The 18,744-nt window shown below is 36.1% G+C and overlaps 1 protein-coding gene and 1 non-coding gene across 11 annotated transcripts in view; both read right to left on the minus strand.

Annotated features, from left to right (window-relative positions):
- Nucleotides 1–18,744, minus strand: part of COBLL1 (cordon-bleu WH2 repeat protein like 1) — a 184,146-nt gene that overhangs the window by 11,299 nt on the left and 154,103 nt on the right. For 9 of the 10 annotated variants that reach the window (NM_001365670.2, NM_001278460.2, NM_001278458.2 and 6 more), the window contains one exon: nt 10,959–16,803. The exons of the other annotated variant lie outside the window; for it this stretch is intronic. In NM_001365670.2, the coding sequence (NP_001352599.1) occupies nt 16,717–16,803 (87 nt within the window). In that variant the 3' untranslated portion in view covers nt 10,959–16,716. Of the gene's footprint in view, nt 1–10,958; nt 16,804–18,744 lie in introns of those variants that run through there. 10 annotated transcript variants of the gene reach the window in all.
- SNORA70F (small nucleolar RNA, H/ACA box 70F) lies at nt 18,414–18,548 on the minus strand. Its single transcript, NR_033309.1, has one exon. It is a non-coding gene; the product is annotated as a small nucleolar RNA, H/ACA box 70F (small nucleolar RNA).

Genomic DNA, 18,744 nt, shown 5'->3' on the forward strand with positions numbered 1-18,744 from the left:
GCCTTTGTTACATCCACTGAATGAAATATTATGCGGGAATAAATAAGGACAAACATGAATGCTACCTGGTAATATAAAAAAACACATTCTGATTGCTTCTCAGCCTTTTGGATGAGATCAAGTGTAAAAACACATTCTGGAATTCAATTCAAAGGAAAAGGGAGACTTATAGAGTTTGGCTTGTCCACTTATGTTTCCAAACCAATGCCATATGAGAGACAACTGTGTATACTCAGCCTTGTTTTATGCCAAAGACTTTCTTGCAACATGGTCTGTTTCCAAGAGTAATACACATCTATTTTTCCAAGAACACTGCTTGCTGCCCAACCACTTCTAGCTACCCACAAAGTTCAGAAGAAATGGACTGAATGTGAAGCCCTGTAACTTTGCTGGATGTACCCAATTGGGAACACTGCAAAACATTCTTTCTAAAAGGATAGGCCATCTATCTAATTCTTTTCTTGGTACATATCTATCTGGTTCAATTGATTCCATTCACATCCCAGTTTTGCCACTTCACTGTGAAAATTTGCATGTGGCTTAAACTTTGACTCAGTTTACTCATCTGTAAATGGGAATAATAATAATGTTTCTTATATGTCTGTTGTAAGGATTAAATAAGTTATGATATTACAGTATCTGGGATCACACAGTAAAGCATTAAGTAAATTGTCTTTTTGTTGTTGTTGTTACGTGAGAAACCTGACTTTCTGTATTGCACCAACTCCAAATGCCCAAGTCAAAATAGCTTGCTAGTGACTGTCATTGCCGCTCCTTGAACTGTTATTTTTCCATTGAAAATATAATACAGATAATAAAGAACATCATAACAGCAGCTGACATGATTGAAAGCTTATTCTGTACCACATTCAGTACTGAGTGTTTTATATGCATTTTCTTATTAATCTTCACAAGCACTCTATAAAGTTGGTACCAGTTTTCAGATGCAGTGACAGATGCTTAGAGAACCTAAATAACTTGCAAAGACTGACCAGTAAGTGGAAGAATTTGAACTTGAAAGCAGTCCTTCCCATCAGAATATATGTAGAAAAAGAGAAAAAAAAGTGCATAAATATTATCAGTGGTTGTTTCTGGATCATAAAATTAGGAGTGATGTTTTAATTATCTCTACATCTATCTTTTATATGTATAAGAACATATTTCTCTGATAATAAGTTTTTTCAATCTATTCCAAATAATGAAGATAATAGCATTTCTAGCTAACAATGAATAATAGCAATCTTATTGCTCACTCTTGTGAATTAAAAAGTAGTCTATCTTTGAATCAGTCTCTTTATCCTTTGCACAAAGAAGTTCTGTTATGGCTTTCTAAAAATGAATACAGTGTTTTAGAACCTGAATTCCATCTACTTTTAATTAGCAAAAATATAACATGTGCAGATTTTTAAAAATTCAAGTTAAAATCCAACATCAGTTTTAAGTTGGGATGAGAAGGCCTCCTTGCCTTTGCCCCTGATGTCCCTGTGGGAAATTTCCCCCCACGAGCCTGCATGGTGATCAGCAACAGAGAAGAGAGGCCAAATGGAAGCAGAAACCAAGGCTAGTGACATGCTCAGAAGAGGAAAGTTTGTCCCACACTGAATTACTTCTCAGAACTCATGAGGAATGGAGAAGAAAGAAAAGCAATGGTGGCAGATCAGATTCATGGTCAATTGACATTTATTCTAGTGCCTGCCAAGTCCTGGGTGCTTTCACCAGTATTATCTCATTTCATTCTTCAAGAACAATGTAAAATAGGCGTTATTAGTCTCACTTCACAGGTAAGGGCAATGAAGTCCAGGCATCAAGCAATATTCTGAAACCCATAGAGATGATAAAACAGCAGACAAGGGATTAGAACTCTGGTTTGCAAACCTCTTACTCCTTTCTATATATAATGCTGCCAACACCTTCATCACTCCCAATTCTCAGAAGTAAAAGGCATGCAGTAATCTATTATTAGAACCATTATATATGAGAAAGTATCTATAAATTAGAATACTATAACAAAAAATAATTAGTAAATAAAGAAGTATGGTTCTACTTGCACACCAGTTCTACACTTCCTTTTTTGTTTTTTTGTCTTTTTTTAATGTAAGAACCTATTCTTTGATGACATGTTTCTGCTCAGGATAGTGTTTGCTAAGTCTGTGGCCCTTGCTATGAAGTGCAAGGCAAAATTTCATTTAGCAGTTCATAACAGATTTTATGTGCAAAAACAAATAGACTCATAATATTACTTCAACTAGAACCACAATCCACAACAGACTTGCTAATTATTCTCTCCTCTGAGGTCTCTGGAAAGGTGATAACCAGTTCCATGACCCATCCCTAAGGCTCTCATCATCTTTGACATTTCTGTCAATTTATTATTTTCGATATCTGTCAACATAGAGATTAAACAGAGGAGAATGTGGACTCATATTGCTTCCAGAGCTTTATGAGGATAAGGACATTTAGACAATGGAATCGGTTACTGAAGCACGTTATGAAGATTTTTTTTTTTTTTTCCAAGAGGCTGAGCTGTCATTTACTTGGAATGGCTTAGGACAGTTCTGACTGGAGGCAGGAGTATGGACTCATTAACCTCCTAGCCCTGTAACTCTGTCAATCTCAATTCTCACCAGTTTCAATCAGATACAGCTGCCTCTAGTTTCATTCTGGTTGGTTTAGTGTGGTTGTGTGTGCTCATGCAATTTTCTGCATTGCAGGGGAAAGAAAGTATCTTCAATATGTGTCTATATCTGTGCATGAGGCAGTGTGTATGGTCAGTCTTTCCTTACCGAAAGTCTCAGCATAAAATGTATTGATAGAGGTGTACGCTGGTATATAGGAAAGTACCCTGTGACAAATATAGTTGATTCTTTTTATTTCTCTTTGCATAGAGATGAACACACAGCTACAGTGCTCTCAGGAGGCCTAGGAGTTGACTTAGTCCAAAGGAATGACTGTGCTATTTTTGCACTTTCCCTCACATTATTTCTCAAGGCTTGAGGGAATTTAAATGTGACTTACTTGGCAATGACAAGTGTCTGTCCCTTCAGTGCCTCCTGAATGAGATCATTTACACAAATCACTTCACCATAGCTCATTGTATTTTTCATAGACAAATAGTATCACTTAAATAGAATCTAGACTTCAAGAAAGGAGAGGGTTTTTTTCTTCTTCCCTTAAAAATGACTTTGTAGGCCGGGCGCGGTGGCTCACGCCTGTAATCCCAGCACTTTGGGAGGCCGAGGCGGGTGGATCATGAGGTCAGGAGATCGAGACCATCCTGGCTAACAAGGTGAAACCCCGTCTCTACCAAAAATACAAAAAAATTAGCCGGGCGCGGTGGCGGGCGCCTGTAGTCCCAGCTACTCGGGAGGCTGAGGCAGGAGAATGGCGTGAACCCGGGAAGCGGAGCTTGCAGTGAGCCGAGATTGCGCCACTGCAGTCCGCAGTCCGGCCTGGGCGACAGAGCGAGACTCCGTCTCAAAAAAAAAAAAAAAAAAAAAAAATGACTTTGTAAAAAATGTCACTATGAAATTCACAATATTGGTGTGATGATTCATTATATGTTTTCTGGAAGAGACAGGGATATTTCAGAACACCTTAGTATTACAGATAAAAGACTTGAGGCTCTGAGAAGTGAAGTAACTTGGATAAGGTCTCCTAGTAAATTGGTACATCCCCAGGCCCATAACCCAGATTTCTGGTTTCCTGGTCCAGACTGCACCCTCCCTGCATTGTGTAACTGCAGCCCCACACACTCTGGAATAAAACTGATTCTAGCAAAAACAACAATAATTTAAAAATTGCCTTCAATTAAATGTTACTGAACTTTTCTCATGAAATATAATTTTGGAAAAAGCAATTGTCTTTATAAGTATACATAATTCATGTCTGTTATTCCTTGATTCTTATGAGAATTTTCTTATTACTGAAATAGTGAAATTTGTCTGTTCTCTTGTTAAAATCTATTAAAATGGAAAAAAGTAATAAAGCTTAAAATACATAATAAATATAAAATCAGAGAACATGACCAGACTTATTCACCTCTACGGAAAGAATAAGAAAGGCGCAATGGAGAGGGGGGCATTAGTTAGAGGCATAGTACTTTATATTGCGGGTACTTGGTGAATGTTTTTAAGCTCGATCAGTAAGGCTGGGCGCGGTGGCTAGGCCAGGCGCAGTGGCTCACGCATGTAATCCCAGCACTTTGGGAGGCTGAGGCAGGCACATCACTTGAGATCAGGAGCTTGAGACCACCCTGGCCAACATGGTGAAACCTCATCTCCACTAAAAATACAAAAATTAGCCGGGTGTGGTGGCGCATGTTTGTAATCTTAGCTACTAGGGAGGTTGAGGCATGAGAATCACTTGAACCCAGGAGCGGAGGTTGTAGTGAGCTGAGATCGGGCCACTGCACTGCAGCCTGGGTGAAAGAGACTCTGTTTCAAAAAAATAAAAATAAATAAATAAATAAATAAACTCAGTGAATTCACTTCACAGGAATTTCCAAGTTTGTAAGCCACTTTTACAAGTACTATGAAAGAGTTCTGTGCTTATATATTTGTGTATTGTTTATGGCAGAATATGTTTAAATGGAAACGAAAACAACTTTGGGCAAATTAAACCTAACCAAATTTTTAAAAAATATCTCTTTAGAAACTTGAGAGAATTCTACAATTACATCAAGAATGAAGCTGGCTATTGTCATATTATTATGCTATAAATACTATTGAGTACCTCTATTATAAGATTTGTAGGAAGGTAGAATTGGTATTTCTAATGGTCTATGCCTCATTTAGTCAAGCTAAAATATAAAATTTACTATCTTTTTGTTTTTTGTTGTTGTTGTTTGTTTTCAGACAGAGGCTTGTTCTGTCGCCAGTCTGGAGTGCAGTGGCGTAATCTTGGCTCATTGCAACCTCCACCTCCCAGATTCAAGTGATTCTCCTGCTTCAGCCTCCCGAGTAGCTGGAACTATAGGCACGCACCACCAGACCCAGCTAATTTTTGTATTTTTAGTTGAGATAGGGTTTCACCGTGTTGGCCAGGATGGCCTCGATCTCTTGACCTCGTGATCTGCCCACCTCGACCTCCCAAAGTGCTGGCATTACAGGCGTGAACCACTGCGCCCAGCCAAAATTTACTGTCTTATTCATGCATTCTTTCAACAAACATTTATTGCATGCCTAATATGACAGGCAATATAGAAGAATGAGGACTCTAGAGTCAAAATGCCTGGGTTCATGTTCTGGCTTTCTGTTTACTAGATATGTAATCTTGGATAACTTGTTCCTCAGCTTCCTCATTTATAAGACAGAGGTAATAATAATACCTACTGTTATTTTTTATTAAATGATTAACATCAATGAAGCATTTAGATGAAGATATGGTAAGGGCAAAAGCTCCTGTTGTTATGATGTGTTATGGATTGGGGATAGAGGGCAAACAAGATAGATATGGAGTCTACCCTCATGGGAAAAATTGGGTAAACAGCTTTTACACTACAATTATGTTAAGTGCTAAAAGAAGGTATAGCATGAATAATATAACATAGTTCTAACATCTCTTTAAACATTCATGCGTAATTTTCTTCTGCTATTGCAACCAAGGGAAGCCACACAGTACACTGCTATTCCACATGTTGGTAACTGAGATTTGAAATCTTTGTTATTTCTACACTGAATCATACCCTTTTAAATGAAGCAAGTGAAATTTCATATCTGTGACATTGTGTTGGGCAGGCATCCTTGGAATAATTCATTTCTCCATTTTATTCTTATTTCTTTATGACCACTTAAAAGTTTCAAGAAAACAATCTTAATTTCATTGTGCTACATTCCTTAAGGCACAAATCTTTGTGATGCTTCAGGGACCTTTGTCTTGATAAAGACAAGTACTTCAGAAAAAAAAAATGAGGAGACCAACAGCCAGTGTTTGTTGACGATGAGCTCAGTTGTTCTTCACATTGTGCAACAGATGGCATTGACAGACTGATGGTTGGGAAGGAGGAAACCAATTTCAAATACACCGTTGTCTCATACCACAGCACCATGTCATAATTACATATTGATTTCCTTTCTTCTAATCCCACTGTCAGCCTTCTACAAGTGAGCTGATTTGGATAATCTGAAAAAATATTAACCAGATATCTCTCAACACACTTGTCATTTTGGCCCCATCTCAGATATCAAAGAGGCTTGAGGCACAGATTTTAAATTTATATTTAAATAAATATAGGCTTGTTCTGCAGACAGCTCATCTAGACAAGAATTTAAAAAAGAAAAGAAAGCTGCCAAAGAATCTTCAAGAAGTCAAACTCATTTCTCTGAGATTTTTCTTAAAAAATAAAACAAAATGATTTTTTAGGATTCCCCAAATGAGGACGGGACAAAAAGTGAGCCGAAAGTCCCAAGGTTGCTAAAAATGACTTACTTTATCTTTGGCATGTGTATTAAATGTCTTATCTTAAATTTAGACTAGGTTTTTGAGGTCTCTTCTAAAATACAGGGGTAATAAAAATGTTTTATTGCTTTTCTTTTCTTCCACAATGACATGGGTATTCTTTATGGTAGGAGAATAGAAAACTTGGGACTCACCCTTTAAATTGAAAGACAGATAACATAAGCACTGGCCACCTGCTGCCAAGCAAGGTGCGGTCCAGTACTGCTGTGGTTATATGGTGAACTGTGACAGCATTTCCATGGTGTGGTACTTGAGTGCACTAAAAATAGGCAACCGTGAACTATACTGCAGTTGAAGGACAAGATAAAAATAGGAAAGAAACCTGAAAAATAATTGTATAAATAGAGTACAGGGATTAACAACTCAACCCACAGGATTGAATTCCCTAATAAGTTTTGCTATTTTTATTGAATGCAGTAAATAAACTAACATTTAAATATTTAAGAGAAATGTTTAGTATAGAAGTGTTTTCCGAATTTAAGAATGGTTGACATTCAAGCAGAGATAATGTATACCATAATTTTGAATAGAAATTCTTTAATCTTTTTAGCTGGGATGTGCCTTTATATCTTTTAATGGTACTCCTTTCACTAAACACACACATATAAACACACACACACACAACTTGGATAATATCTGTCAGCTATAAAAAATATAATTGATCTTGTAGATGTAGCTAAAACCTGACCTTTATTTGCAGAGTCTCAGCTTTGATCTTGTATTCAATTCCCAGAAAACAGTAAGGACTGGGAAGAGCCCAAGAAATGAAGGCATTCTATATCATTTGGCATAAATGTAGCCAATATAGAGATGGCATCAAATGGTTAAATATTCTTCATATTTCCTTAAAATGAAACATTTAAAATGCTGGTTTCAATAATTCTGGGATGGAAAATCTGTACCAGATTACCAACTCTTGGCCTCATATTTCAGTCCTCTCTCATTTTGCCTTCTGTATTTCCACCAAATATGCCATCGATTCTTAACTCTGCTTTTTTTTTTTCCCCCCCTTTTTCTGCCACGAGTCTAGAGCCAGAATCCCATCAAAATCAGACTTGGATTTTGGCAAAGGATCATTAACTTCTGAATTTCTGGCCACTTCCAGCAGATTAATTTTATGATTATGTCACCTTTCTGCTCAAAACTTCATAGGATTACTTAGAGGAATTCTACACTCTCTAAACCTGCTATTCATTTTTAACAGTAATACATTAATTATGCATTTATTTTATTCAACCAATTTATATAATAAACATCTCTAAATCCACTGTCCAATTTATATCATAGAATAAACATCACTGATAACTTACCTATGTGTCCCTTGCCTAACCTAATCCTATCCCCCTTTCTCCCTCTCACAGGTAACCAATCTCCTAAATTTAATGTTTATCAAGCCTCCTTTTAAAAAACTCTTAGCAAACATATGTACATCTAATTTAATTTTATAAGAAGGTTATAATTTTATATGTTGCCTTCTGTGGCTTTCTTCAAAATTTTTGTCCTTGACATTTGCTTACTATTATTTATCTGTGCCCATCGGAACTTGGGCTGTTTCTTTCTTTCTTTCTTTCTTTTTTTTGCTATTACCAAAGCATCCAAAGCGTACTGCAAACATTCTTAACATGTCTTCTGGAAAATGTACCTACTTTGGTTTCTCTTGGGTAAATGCCTAAGAGTGAAACTGTTGAGTTTTAGGTTGTACCAGCAAAGGTACTGGTAGGAACAAGATCAAATTGTGTAATTGAGGAAAGTTTAAAAAAAGAACTATTATGGGACAACAAAACATGCTAGGACTAGCAAGGGCAAGGATCCTTAAACATCCCTAGCCCTAACAAGGCACAAACAGGGAGCTATTACTTAATCTCAAAAGGGTAGCTGCAGCTTTAAAAGATTACTCAACAGAGCTCTAGCTTTCAGTAGAATTCAGTTAACAAACTGGCAGAGAAAGAGTTGATCTCACTAAGAACCTTGACCTGACTCTCTACCCTTCTCACAAATGTCTTGCCATGGTCTCTCATTGGCTGAACCAAATCAGAAGGCAGAATGCAAGGAAACCATTCATGATCCCCTTCCAAGAACACAGTGCAGGGTGGAGAGGGCTAAGATCTAGATCTAGAGAGATAAATGGATATATGCAAATGTTAGATATTATAGAATTCCCTCTTATTTTTCAAAGTGTTTGTACTAATTGATACTCCCACCAACAGTGGATAAGATCATACTGGGCCATATCCTCTCCAACACTTAGTATTATTAGACTTCTGAACTTTTGTCAATAGGCTCAAATTGTTATCTCCTTGTGGTCTTGATTTGCATTCCCTCAGTTAACTGCTAACACTGAGCTTTTCTTCGTGTTTGCTAGTTAGACACATTAACTCTTCTGTAAAATTTCCAGTCATATATTATGGAAATTAAGTTTATGCTGAAATTTACAGAGAAGAGCAAAGAGCAAGAATAGCCAAGACATTTCTGAAGGAGAAGAAAAACGAGCAACTTTTCTTCAAGATATAAAGGCTTATTATAAAGTTACAGTAATTAAGACAGTAATATTGGTGCAGTATACACATTTTGACCAATGGAACAGGAAAATAAAAGCCCCAAAATAGACTTAGGAATTTAGGGATCATCAAAAATGATGGAGATAATATGTCAGATCACTGAAGAAAGGCATGGTTATTTAACTAATACAGTTAAAAAATTTGACTATTCATATAGGGAGCAAGAAGAAAAATGGATTGCTATCTGAAACCATACAAAAAACTTCAGATGAATTCAGACCTTAAATTTAAGAAGCAAAGCCTTAAAACTTTCAGAATAAAATACCAATGAATGCCCCTGTCTGACCTCAGGGTAGAAAAGGAATCCTTAAACATAATACAAAAAATCTTAACCATAACAGAAAATATTGATGCATTCAATTATGTTAATAAGAAATTTTCATTAAGACAATTTAAATAAACAATAAGCCACAAACATGAAGATAATATTTAAATTCATGTAACTAATAATGAGCTAGTATCAAGAATATATAAAGCACTTCTGAAAAAAGGCAAATGACCTAGTGGAAAAAGGGACAACTTACGTTTCTAGCATAGTTTTCTTTTATGACCGTGTTTTATGAACCATCACTAGTCTATAATTCTTGGAGGACTAAAATTGTCTTAGCTGTCTTTGTTTCTTTATGACCCAGCACAGTGCCTGTTGGAAAGAAAATGGTCAACGCATGTTCATCAAATAAAGGAACAAACTTGTCACCCCAGAATAATGCAGACTGTTAATAAAACTCACCATATGCATGCCCTCAGAGTCTTTCCTCTTATATTCACATTACCAACTCCTATCCACCCAGTTTTGGAAGTCCAGATCACCAGTCCCTTTACATCATGTCTTCGCAGCCTCTAGCATTTAGCAAATATTTCTCTGGGACATCTCATGCACTGTTGGATTATGTTTCTCCACATTTCTATGTCTGTCTCCTCTGACTTTGATTCTAGACTTCTCAAGAAGGCCATACTTCTCTAAAGCACCCTGCCTAGTAAAATTCTAGGAGGTGTCCCATATTTATAGGGGATGTGGTGCAACACCTCGTACAAATTACCAGCCATCCATCAGGTTTCAAAATGGCAGAATAAGTGGTCTTGGAGAAATACTGGTCACTTTCATTATGATTTTTCTCCGGTTTAGGCAACTGAGATAAGGTTACAAAGATTAGAAACGTAATTTATGAGGTACTCATTGCAAAGGAAAAAAAAACTTTTTGAAGATTGTTCAAGTACACAGTTACAATTGGAATAAGGCAGCAGAGTATAGCAGAAAAAAATGGGGCCATGGTATCAAATATGTCTTCAACCCCAGCACCACCCTAGGGTGCTCTGAACTTCATGAGTAAAATGTGATAAAAATCTACCTCAAGGGACATGTAGCAGAGTAAATGGTAGAGAACTGGTATTTAAATTTCATTTTCCCTATTTCTCTCGTCCCTCTTAAAAATAATGCCGTGTTCCAAGAACAGAAAACCAAACACCGCATAAATGGGAGCTGAACAATGAGAACACATGGACACAGGGAAGGGAACATCATACACTGGGCCTCTCGGGGGGTGGGGGCGGGGGCTAGAGGAGGGATATCATTAAGAGAAATATCTAATGTAGACGATGGGTTGATGGGTGCAGCAAACTACCATGGCACATGTATACTGATGTAACAAACCTGCATGTTCTGCACATGTATCCCAGAACTTAAAATATAAATATAAATAATAATAATAATAATAATAATACTGTGCTCCATCAGATCTTGCAGTGTATGGTGTTTTTTAGTTAAAACTGAACCATAACACCCTTAATTAACTTTGCTAATAGTGAGATGCTTTTGCCAAATTCCTACTTGCCTCCAATCATCTATCCTGACTTGACTAACATTCTTAATGGGTGGAAGGAGAACAAATGGCCACAAATTAAATGTCTTTATCCATATGAATAGAGTGCAATCGGTCACTGTAACAGGAGTGTCTCAATAATTTATTTATTGACTTTATTATAATTTCAAACATGCAGACAAGTTAAAAATCATGTACAATATAACCCACATACCCACCACCTAGATTTAACAATTGTAACCGTCATAATAATAATGTAGAGAGTAATGATGACATTACCAAAATTTCCTAAGTATATTATTTTCTGATCCCTTGAAGGTATCCAAAACCCACCAACAGAAATCATCCAAAAAGTTTCTTCACTATGAACCCTTCAGTGAACTTTTCCCCATTCATAACATGGGGGCATCGCTGAGGGAGAACTACCAAGGAGCACACAGGGTGAGTTACTCTTTTCCGTAATGACGCCTCTTGGTTTCTTGACTTAGGGAGTCCTGGGCCTGCTCACTTCTATTACTCATATGGCAGATTCTGCTTCTTCCTTCTTTGTACACTTTCAGGTTTTCAATGAAATAGCACAGTTGCCAGATTTAGCTAAGAAAAATACAGGATGCCTAGTTAGCTTGAACGTCAGATAAACAATATAAAAATATAAGTATATCCCAAATATTGTATGGGATATGCTTATACTAAAAAAAAATTTGTTGTTTATCCGAAGTTCAAATTTAACTGGGCATTCTGTATTTTATCTTGCAATCCTGTGAAATAGACAAATTTAATGACCTTCTGAAGGGGGTCTAGATGACTTTGACAGCTGGGCTCTCATGCTTCTAGGTCTGAAGACAAAATGAGAGAAAACTATAGAGAAAGGGAGAGAATATACTTTTGCACTACGACTAAGAAAAAAAATATTTAGAATTGCTTTTAACTGGTTGGGAGCTAGACAGAAAGTCTGAGGTGTATTTGTGTTGGATTTAGTAAGTCATCTGTGAGATTCTGGAGGAAACAGCGTTGTGGAACTGAACAGACTGAATCAATTTATGATTAGGGTTAGAGTCATATGTGTATGGTTTGTTTAACAGGGTGTATTGCACCTATTGCCACATTAATGCTGTATATAAACCAACCACAAACCTTGGTGGTATTGCTGGGGTAAGCATTTATTGCTTACACATCAGAGTAAACTGGGGGCCTGGCTCTTAGGTGATCTAGGCTGGCCTCAGTTGGGAGCTCTGCTCCCTGCATCTCTCATCCTTTTCTTAGGACCATTCAGCTGTTTCAGAGATGTCTTTCTCACAGCAACATTTCAAATACAGTGAAAGCAAGCAGAAACACATGAACCTTTGAGGGCTGGTCTTAGAACTGGCACAGTGTCATTTTCACTTCATTCTGTTACTCTCAAAACCTGCTCCTATGGGTGGGAGAGGGGGCTCTGCCTCTTTAATGAGAGGAGCTGCAAAGTCACACAGCAAAAGGTACGGATGCAAGAGAGGGAAAGAACTGAGGCCATCACTGCTATCACAGCAAAAGGTATGGATGCAAGAGAGAAAGAATTGAGGCCATCACTATGCCTATCGCTATCGCAAGGCGTGGGCTGGAAACTAAGAATAAACTGGGGAGCAAAAAAGTTGCTTCTTTTTGAAAACTATACATTTGTTTGCAACTGTAGCATTTTTTTTCTTCTCCAAGAAAAGTAATTAGCAAGACTTACAAATGATTTTTTCCAGTTTGTGAAGCAGAGATGCCAACAGATCTCTACAAATTACCAGAATGTTCCACAACTCTTCTCAAAATACCTGTCAAAAAAGTTCTGAGCACATGGTGGCATTTTTTCCTTGTTGTAAACACAATGTATCTATATGAACAGTCTAACATATTAAGGATGGAAATTTGCAGGAAAGTGGTAACATTTAAGAGAAAAGGAAAACCAACTGAAGATTCAGAACAAATAACTTCCTATTCTGGTATCCCTTGAAATCTAGCACCAGTTTCTTCATCATTTGCTACATTTAGTCATGGGGAAGAACAAATTAGTAATTGGATGTGGGACTCTGAGACTCCTCTGCTTCTGTGACCTTTGTAAAGTAGCAATCTTTGCACACCTTTTAAATATGTGGATCAAATAAAAATCTTGTTGTCAACTCTGAAATAGCAAATAAATAGGAGATATTTTTACATCTAAAACCTCAGAAATCACTTTGACCCTGGAAATCTTCACTATGACCTCTAATTGCAAGTTCTTTTCTTTCAAGTCAGTTATCAAAATCAGTAGATTTTAAAAATGATGAGTTTGATTCTTAGTTCTTTGATACTTATTTTCTCTACTGGTAGTGGGTACAAAGTAAACTGGAATTAGACACATACATAATTGTATCAATTGGGACGCTTTGGGTTTTAAGCACCTATAAGTAACTAAGTCTCAGGACAAAGATTGGTCTCATTTCAAGGACTTGGATAAGATGACAGAGTGTGTATGCTGTTGCCAGTGCCTAGTGGCCAAGGCCAGATCTGGCAGTTCATGAAGAGGTGAAATCGGAAGAAGGGTCACTCCTCAAAGAATAGGGAGTATATTAGGCAAATAATACCTGTTCACTTATAGTATTGACATCAGGTAACTTTAAAAGATGAATTGCCTGCCGTTTTTAAAATAAGGTTCATTTTTATTCATATTAATTCATTTTTCAGAAGAGAAAATGAAGCATAGAGAAAGTAATTTGCCCAAGATCCCATGACTCATAAGTGGCAGACTTGTGATCTGAACCCCAATCTCTTCACTCCAGCCAACATTATGTACCGCAGCAAGAAACAATAGAATGGCTAACAGAAATACGATCGATCTGTATGTGTAAAAAGAAAAGCTCTTCCAGAACACTGCTGGTATAAAAGGCAAGTTGTTACATAGTATTAGAGTGTGACCTCCTTTCATGTTAAGAAACACACATACACACACACACACACACACACACACACACACACAAAAGCCCCCAACAAACCTGCACACATGTACTTCATATAAATACATCTATATAGGGCTTCATATCAAAATATTAACAGCTATCTTTGGAGAGGAGAGTGGGATGCTGGGGATGAAAAAGAATGTATTTTATACTCTATCATATATATGTAATCTGAATTATAATTTTAATATTATATAAATAAATAACTTGATTGGAGGAAAGAAGGAAAAGCAAAATGCCTAGATGCTAAAAATTATACATGAAAGTCAAAAGTTGGTTCTAGACCATTCCTGTATCTTCCTTGTGCTGTTATTTTAGGATATGATGAGTGAAAACTACTTGTCACAAATTTCTTTCCCCATTGACAGGATAGCACATGTTCTCCTAAAATGGTGTCGATAAGGCAACTTTTCAGAACATACATGTATTAATGGTTTATATACATAGCCCCCTAAATCCTATGTGACCTTTAAAACATTATTTTATTATAATTATAAACTACAAGTATACTAGAATTTAGAATATAATAAGCACTTGTTTTCAAACAGCAGTTTATAAAATACTACGAACACAATTGATGCCTCTTATAAATCTCAATTCAGTCTTTCTTGGTTCCCACAGGTAACCACCAGCAAATTTTTTTCCTACATATACAGCCATAATTTATAGTATCATTTTTTATATTTATACTTTATGTAACTAATTTCATAAAACACGACTTGTTCCACCACTCACTCTTGTCACTTGTTTTTGAGATGTATTCATGCTGACATATATAGCTCTAGCTTGTTCATTTGGACTGCTGTGTGGAAGTCTATCATATGAATATATGCATTACTAAAGCTGAGCACGGGTTAGGACCCCTTTCTGCTGTTTTACACAAGGCTGCCGTGAACATTTTTGCAGATGTCTCCTTATGCATGTGCATAAGTACTTATTTAAGGTAACATGGTAAGGAATCTTTAATTTTACTAGATATTGCAGAACTGGTAGTTATGCCAGTGTATTTTCCCACCAACAGTAGAGTTCCCACTGTTTGATGTTCCTGACAACACTTGCTATTTTGAAACTTCCGTTTTTGCTAATTTGATGTGGTACCTTTCCATGTTTTTAACTTGTATTTCCCTGATTATCAGTGAAGAGTATTTTTTTTCCATGTTTGTTGGCCTTTTGAATTTCCTCTTGTAAGAATAATGTGCTGATATTTCTATTAGGTAGACTTATCATGAGTTGTAGGAACTTTCATATCTTCATAAATTAAGCCTTTCTTATATATTAATATATTGAAAACATCTTACATGTCGCTTGTCTTTAAGTCTTCAATCCAACTCAAAATATATGAAGGTTTAAATTAGGGATCCAAATTTATATTTTTATAAGTAGATAATTATGACAACACAATTTTTTAAAAAAAATTCACTCCTTTCTCTACTTGCTTATAACAACATAACTTAAGTATCTATATATGAGGGTCTCTCCAACTGATTCAAGGAAAACAGCAGCAACATTTAGCATTTAAGATGGCCATGCCATGTATCAGGAACTATGCTAAACATTTTAAATGCTTAGACCATGCATTTTGGAGTCAGAATGCCAGGGCTTAAATGTACACTAGGGATCCCTGATAAATGGTAAATCTTACAAATTTCTTGTTTGTTCACTGGCTAATAGAAATGTATGCATCAGGTAAGGGAAATAAATATGCTGGTTGACACAAACTATATATTTTAAAAAGCACCCCAAATATACAACTTGCTTTTATTAAATTGAAAAAAAAATCCCCAAGAGGCAGATATCCCAGTAGTTTTAGTGAAAACAAATTTAATATCATCTTGTTTGAACAAAGCTTTCAGAATAAGTGAGCAATTAAATTCTTAAAGTAGGGACAGAACACCAACAGGCTCTAGACTCCGGAAGAGCTGTAAGCCGACAAATGGGCATTGTTTTGCTTAACAGTTTTAGCTTCAATGTAAATATATATTATTACTTAGAATATTAGCATCTGAACTATATAATGACTATTTTATCATTTTACTTGAATTAAAACCAGAATTTCTGGAACTTCCAAATAGTCTTTAAAGTTTTTCAATATAAACATAAACTAACCCCTATTCCTCTCTACATATCAAATGTGAAATAACTGTCACAATATATCAGCATTTTCACAGAAAGATGTTTAAGGCTTCTGGCACATAAAATGTGTAATTTCTGTGTGACAATGTCATAATTATATACAGAAAATATTTAAAATTCTTGTAGAATTTAAGTTCTAAAGATTAAAAAAACAAGAGTTCCATGTTAATAAAATATTAAAATACTATGAGCTTCCCATAAAATTGACAGTGATTTGTAATTACATAAAGAATACACAAGGCAAGTCTTTCACACTAAGTGATTCATCATTGAAAATAATTATTGAACTGAATATACTTATTTGGTATCACTAGTTTTCTAAATCATTCTTTCAGCCCAAAACAGGCTTTCATATAACTTATAAATATTTCCAATTGCTACACTGAGGCAGCAAATGTCATATCTATGTTTGTCCTAGTTGTATGTCATACAAATATAAAGTCTATGAATCTTATACTTTTGTCTAAGTCACCATTGTAGAGAATGTGCTGGTAAGTGAAATCAATACAAAGGAATTATTTTTCATTTGTAAAAAATGAAAATCATTTACACCTTGTTTTAAAGTTCTAAAGCAGCATATTCAACTCTTAAGGCAAAAAAAAGATCAAAAAATTACTATAAATTATAAATTCTGGTAACTTTTCTTCTGGCATTAAAAGCCACAACACAAATTCTAATATTTTAATAGATAATATATTAGTGTACATCTGAATATACATTTGCCAAAATGTTCCATTAGTATGAAGTTGGTCTGAAGTGGAAGTGAAGTGCAGTGGTGTGGCAGGGTAACATTTAATGGCCGTCCTGGGCATCAGGGGACATGGAATGGCTGAGTCTTGACCTTCCATTCACAGATATTGTATTTGATGGAATGGTAACCTAAGAGAAAGAAACACACTTTGCACCCATCAATTTAAAATGGGATAGCTGTCTAATTTTCAATTTTCAACAGTTACCACATTTTAACTTCTGCTTAATTGTAAATGATAAGTATCTATTATTCAATAAATTATAATCAAGAATAAATGTTCATTCTACCATAAAATTTAAAAAGAGAGAGTCGTTATTTTCACAACAAATAAGATAAATAATCCATTAACACATCTTAATCTGTACAGAATTACCAAATCAACACAAAGGACAAGAGCACAAACAGACTGCAAACCAAGCTGTTAAAGAGCATTTTTAGCTAGATTAATTCTGTAATTCTGGCTCCCCAAAACTGCCTCTGAGAATGTAGAAAGATAAAGTGAATTCCACAAAGCAATGAATTTTACAAGTTTTGTACTGATGGTATAAATTAACGTGAAATCCCCCTCCCAATGGCCCCCTATTTATTCAAAACAAAAAAACTAGCCCTTGGTTTTAAAAATGCTTTCATATAAAGGATTTAAAAATTAAAATCTGTGACTGTTAAGCCAAATGACTGAAGACTGAAAAGGAGTTTTTTTTTTTTCCTTAGTAAGTAAACTCCTAAGTTTCAAAATTCTATGGCAAAGTCTTCTATTCACAAACTATAAGTGAATAAAAACACTAAAACAAGAATTTTCTACATAGTGTGAAATTCCAGCTTTTGAAAAATGTAAAGTCATCTGTATTCTGAATAGTAAATACCTATATTTTGAAACATCATACTTGCAATATAATGAAGATATTTTAAGACAGTTTAGATTATAATTTGACTAATTTAGATTCATAACCAAACACTATCATTTTCTTACAAGAAGACAACTGGAGTACAAATGGCCACAGATTTTCCTATTAACCGAGTAAATTGGTTAAAAGGAAAATGAAATTGGCAAATTTAGTTTGGACTTGGCTTCCTTGCGCTTCGCTTTTTGCCTTTTACTAAATAAAGATTGGTCATCTAAACTAATGAGTTTTCTCGATTGTCTGATGAATCCAGGATGGAGCAGAGTGATTGACGCTACACACCTAAAAGGATACGGTAAGAAGAGTTGCCACCAGCAGAAGGGAAAACTCATCTGCACTCTCTTTAGTATGCCTGTGAGATTTCTTTCCAAGTATAGCCAACAAATGACAGGTAATGACTTTCTTTCTTTTTTTTTTTTTTGGAGAGGAAGTAGAATTTATTGGTTAGTATTAAGAGGGGAAGCACAGTGAAAGCCCTCATGAGTGCAGGGCCCGGCACTTGTCCACAGGGCCACAACTGGGGATGTACTTGACCCCACAGCCATATGAGCCACTTCTCAGCCACCATGTCTTCAAATTCATCGACATTGAACTTGGTGAAGCCCCATTTCTTTGAGAAGTGGATCGTCTGGCAGCCAGAGAACTTGAACTTGGCCCTGTGCAGGGCCTCAATCACATGCTCCTTGTTCTGCAGCTTGGTGCGGACGGACATGGTAACTTGGCCAATGTGACCCCTGACCACAGTGCCCTGGGGTTTTCCAAAGGCACCTCGCATGCCTGTTTGAAGCCTACATTGGGGTAATGCAAGGTCAGAGACATGAACATACATCTGAAAGGCCTATTATCAAGGTCCCTTAGAGCAACCTATAGAGGAAACAGGCTGCATACACCACCAAGGAAGCTGCTGTTTGCAGCCATTGCACACTGGGCCCCCATAAGGAAAGGAACTCAGTACACTTAATTGACTGCAGAGGTAATGACTTCCATTGTGGAACCTTGGTCCTAAATGTTTCTGTGTACAGGATAATTATTTTGTAATCCTTGCCAAAATTGCAGTTCTCATAATTCTTTGTGAAGGAGAAAATTTGTTTTAGGCATTTAGAAAACGTATCGATGGCTCTAAATGTCTCCACGTAAAATATGCTCATTGTACCACCATATACAGAA

This window comes from Homo sapiens, chromosome 2, assembly GCF_000001405.40.
Source record: "Homo sapiens chromosome 2, GRCh38.p14 Primary Assembly".
NCBI classification, from domain to species: Eukaryota; Metazoa; Chordata; class Mammalia; order Primates; family Hominidae; genus Homo; species Homo sapiens.